Source organism: Homo sapiens, chromosome 15 (genome assembly GCF_000001405.40).
Source record: "Homo sapiens chromosome 15, GRCh38.p14 Primary Assembly".
In the NCBI taxonomy this organism is placed as follows: domain Eukaryota; kingdom Metazoa; phylum Chordata; class Mammalia; order Primates; family Hominidae; genus Homo; species Homo sapiens.
This window is the reverse complement of record NC_000015.10, coordinates 97176532-97181831: the sequence shown is the minus strand read 5'-3', so window position 1 is coordinate 97181831 and position 5300 is coordinate 97176532. Positions and strand designations below refer to the sequence as shown.

General features: G+C 37.8%; 1 annotated feature.

Annotated features, from left to right (window-relative positions):
* Nucleotides 4506-4706: a silencer, noted in NCBI's record as "peak2438 fragment used in MPRA reporter construct". NCBI's record gives its function as "represses an SCP1 promoter by STARR-seq MPRAs in K562 erythroleukemia cells {active_cell/tissue: K562}" and the evidence as "EXISTENCE:reporter gene assay evidence [ECO:0000049][PMID:32103011]".

Genomic DNA, 5300 nt, shown 5'->3' with positions numbered 1-5300 from the left:
AAAAATCACTTACTCATTTTGCAGTTTTATAATAAAAAATAAGTAACTAGATCATGAGGGCAAATGAACAAGCCAGAGGATGCCAATTCTGTATGTGTTTTATGGGTTAATCTTGGGGGAATAATTTATCTATTAGTTTGAACTAAAGCAAGAACAACACCATTATCTTAACAATACTAAACAGAAGAAATCCAAAGCTATTGTTTTCACTCTGTCTCATAAGGAAACAAGTAGTGTGAACTTATTTGTTTCCCATTTCTATTTGAGGTCTTGCTAATGTGCTTTCTCTAGTGCATTTTCACCATCTTCCATGGACCCATATTTTGGGACAATGGAAGCGCTTTGGACCAGACTTGCAAAGGCTGTCTCATCACCTGAAATATAAGAGCTGTATCAGGGTTTTAGGGTCTCAAATCAGGTGGAATTCCTTTTCTTTTTGCTGATCTTCCAGAGTTAATGTTTTCCATGAAGAAAATTTTAGAAAGTTATGGCAATAGCTTCAGGTTTCTCCTGGACCCACACAATAACTATAAGTTGGTAATCATTTCAGTACAACTAATGAAGAAACATAGTTAAAGATCTACGGCTTCTGCACCAGTCAAGAGTCGGGTAGTGAAGTGCATTGTTGTAATACAGGGACTTTTCATCATTGAACTTCCAAAGGTGTGTAGTGATGTAGTTTGACACCGGTTGGTGTATTTTGATAATTACCTTTTCCAATTTTTGAAATAAAGTGATGGACAAAATATCTAAAATCTGATCTGAATTTTAATCTTCTGCAGCATCCAACCAAGTGAATTTGGGTTTGCTTTAGTTTTTCTGTCTCCCAGACTTCACACAGTTCTTTGAGGCTCCATGGTGGGTAAAAAATTTCTAGTGTATTCCTTGTTAAAATTTTTAAATAGTGAAGCAATGTCTGATATATACTCGGTGTAATCCTTAAGACTTCATGCTCCTTAATAATTACCTTAGAAATTAAAATAAACTGGAAAGCATTCAAGAATAGGTTTTAAAGACATTTGTGACCATTATGAACATTAATAATTTCAAATATATATATATTTTATATATTTATAAAATATAAATTTTAGCTTACAAAACAAAGACAGGAAGAATAACAAGAGGTCTCAAGAAAGCTGAGAAAATTGTTTAAGAGTTTGTGGAAGCCAGGGTATTTGATAGCAGTAACATTGGTAACATGGTGGTTTTCATACATATATAGAGCACTTGCTTGGAGCTGAGCATCGGGTCACAACCCTGAAAGCTGAGCATTTCATCTGTATTTTACAAATGGAGAAACTTGGTTTAGAGAGGCAAGGTGCCTCCCCAAGGTCATCTGATGAGTACGTTCAAGAGAAAGAATTTGGCTTTTTCATTCCCGAGCCTCTATTATCTTTTAATGAATCCTATCCTCACACACACAAAAACTTCTTTATCTAAAAGCTAGTCAAGTAATTTGTTTCTTTTAAAAAGCAAATAAATAAAACATATAATCCAGGCATTGCTTCCTGGTAACTTACTGATGTCCCCCCAGTTCCTGAGAGTAACAGCACAGTGTAGCATTGCTCTGTCCAATATACTGAGGATGCTGTACTGAATAATGTTTAGGCATGTAGGCACTGGGTTCAGATTGCCTGAAATCATGTATGGTTCGACCAATTATTCACTGTGTGTGATTAACCTCTCTGTGCTTGGGCTACCATATTTGTAAAATGGGGGTCATGAGAGTTCTTGCCCTATAGTATTATTGTGTAGACTAGAAGAATTGAACTCATATACACACAGTAAGTACTCAATAAATGTCAGTTAAAATTATTATGGATATCAGTTGTTGAACAAATGGGTAGAAATGTCAGCAAGGAAGATTTCCATCTCAATGTTTTTACCTTATTCTCTACCAAGCATTCATGCTTTCTTGGATTTTTTTTTTTTCTTGTTGCATCATCCTGGTGATTTCTCCAAAGCAGTAGAAGCAGTTTTTCAGAACAGTTTTGCCTATTGTCAGCTAGCTATATGAGACAAGGACTTCCAGTTGCCCTTGGAAGGCACCAAGGTATTATCTGAGATAAGATCTTACCCAAGACACTGGACAGCATCCTAGTGCCCCAATCCAGTCACTTCTATCACCAGGTGAGCCGATTATTTCAGGGAATTTTATTCACCTGATCTTCCATTAGGGCTGCTTTGCAAACCAGAGCATGTGCTATTTCTAGTGAAATGATGACCCTGCTTCAGAACGCAGGTACATTAAGGATACTTAATTGCAGATGATGATCCTGTTTAGTTGTTAAGGGAGTGAGAAAAGATAGAAAATTGTGAATTTAGATTACTAGATAACAGAGACTTTTTTTTTTGTACAGGTAACTCATAATTTAAGTATAAGTGACAATGAAAATTGAACCATACCATCATTTAAGAAATTGTCCTATGATAGAACTAGAATTTCCTGTATATTTGGCACATTCTCAGCTAAATTGACCTAGTATATTTCCAGGAATATGTCAGTTAAAAATGTGCCCTTTGGAGGAAAAAGAGGGAGTACAGATTCCGGGATAATAAATACTGGAGGACTGGGAGGAATCAGACTATTGGCTTCCAGCTGGCATGGCAGAGGTGGTTATAACTGAGAAAAATAAAAACTTGGATTAGGCAGCCATTCAGTAGACTCAAGCTGCTACTCTGCTACTACTAGATCAGTATGCCTCAAAATCTCACTTTTACCATTTTGTAAAAACTACAGTTCCCGCACTGCTATAATAAAAACTGCATCCCATTCCTGTGTTTTCTTGATGGAGAATAGCTGTCTTTTTATATTTAAGTAAACATCACTTTTTAAATTCTTTTTTTCCTATCTTTTGCAGTCCAGAATTTTGAAGGCGATTTTATGTGCCTCTTTAAAAATGTCTGAGTTTATCAGGTTCACAAAATGGAAGAGTTAAGAGGCAAAAAGTGTCCTGATTACATTCACACTCAGCACTTACTAAGATATGCACACTCCTTAATTCTATATTTTAACAATCTATAGATTATTAATTCTATAAACATCCAAGCAAAGAAGACAAAAATTGAAGTAAATAATTATAAAGGAAAATCTTTCAAACATATACATCATTTTTCTTTTCAGATGGCTGCTCACCTTCTTGGGTACTGGGGCCTCTGTCTGGGGCCTTCACTCTTTAACCTCACCATCTGTCAGTAGGGTTTTAAGGCACAGTCTGGGATCTTTATTTTTCTGCTTACCCATACCCAGATAATGCATTTACATTTATTTTAGAGACAAGAATAAAAGTTAAATTTTATTTTAGCCTGTGCTATTTGGAAATCAAGCATCTGGCTGGCTGAAAAAGGCTACGGTACCATTTTGTTTTATAACTTAGAAGGTGCTGAACTCCATTATGAAGGAATTAAATTCTCAGAGGGTATTTTCTGGTGCTGTCTTTCTGAAAAATCATCATCCTTAGCACTCTGCCTCATTTTCCACTAGAATTGCCCTTCACCAAATGAAGTCAGGGAAACTCAAAAAGCAGCCTTACAGAAACAAAGACTCCAATCTGCAGAAGGGACCATAATCTCATTGTGTCAGTCAGAAACTCTGAATTGGATCTGCTCGCTAAATTCTCACTATAATTTTGTCAGCCACATCTGCAGTCTGTGTCTCCGTATCACTGTACTTGGACGACGCAAACACGTTGCGGCTTGTTATTTCTCTCTGGCTTGCTTTTTTCTCTTCTGTCTGTCTTTCCTTGTTTTCTATTCTCTTTTTTTCACCTATGTCTTTTCATCTACTGGCAGCTGTTTCCCCTGACCTCGTACATCTAAATCGAGTGGTGTGTGTAGTTTCGGCATACCTCATGGGGCTCTAGGAGAAGCTGTCTTGTTTACCATCTCAAAGGAACACCAGTTTATCAACAGAACACACATAATGATCGCGGTGGTGCTAGAAGCTTCCATATACGACCATCTTGATTCCAAAGATGGAAGGCCCCCAGGAGTCAAATGTTTTCCCTATAGTGTTGAATAATGTAATTCCTATTCACACCTCAACTGCCTGCACTTTACTTACTTCCAGAGGCATCCCACTCCATTTTGAAACTTGGTCTGTGAATGTGTTGGGGGTAGAGCTAGCTTTTGTCAAGGAAACTGTGTGTATGGACTCTGCTGAAAGGGATGATGGTCTTCTTGTTGCCGCCTCCTTTCAAAATTGGAGGCGTCTGAACGCAGTGTAATGCTTCAGAAGTGCATGTCTTTAGGAGACAGATTTCTCAACTGCCCAGGTGCTGAGCGGAGGGGCCCTCATGCTGCCTGACCGGGCTGAGCTGCGGCTGCTTCTCCAGAGGAGACAGAACACTGTTTTCTCTGTAACAAGATAAGGCAGCCCAGCTGTATCTCCTAAAACACGCTTTATTTTTGTTGCTGTTGCCCTCTCCCCTCCCATCCCCTCCCCCAGGTCGGCCCTCAGTGCCCTCCCGAGAAGTACATGCGCTTTATGGCCGCCTCTCCCTTTCTGTGAATTAGAGTTGCCCTACTGTCTCAGCCACAGGAGAGGGAACAAGGGGAGTCGGAGGCAGGCAAGGCCATTTCCTGCTCTGGTTACGCTGAGAGGGGAACTGATGAGAGAGGTATTTCATTACATTCCAATCCCAGCCACCGTCCAGAAAGGGGGAGATTCTGTTAATTTTACTGAAGGCAAATATTTATTTTCTTAACATAGCTCTGCATTTGTTTTGATACAGTAATTTGGTTTTACCATTGCAATCTGTAACTGAAATCACTCACCTAAGCCAGAATGTTAAGCATCATGCAGCAGATGTATATTTATATTCCTACACTTACATTTTTACTGAATCAAAGTCTTGATTCTTATGTACAGACTTTATCAATTATCATCAGCCTTTATCTGCAATTAGCATAATTTTAGTCATTCAAAAATTGAGAAAGTTTTCTTAATTATTACCTATGTATGGTTAAGCCAGGTATGTATGGTAAGAATTTTTAAAGTAATATAGGATCTATTAAAATGTAGTATTTGAGTTAAAATAGTTGAGTGTTGTGCATGAGAAATCATGAGAGGCTGTTTTCAGCAATCCACGTTTTTTTATTTTTCTTTAAGAGAGGAAGCAAAGAGCGAAGAATTTACAAATATATTTTTTCCCTTTACAGATTTTATATTTCTCTTGATTATATTTTTAATGCAGCAGTTTGTCCATTCATCATAAGAACAGATCAGTAGCGATCTAATTTTAATTTCAGATATCCAAAATTGTGTAACAAGCTTAGCTGTGTGTTTCCACTTTGCCGGC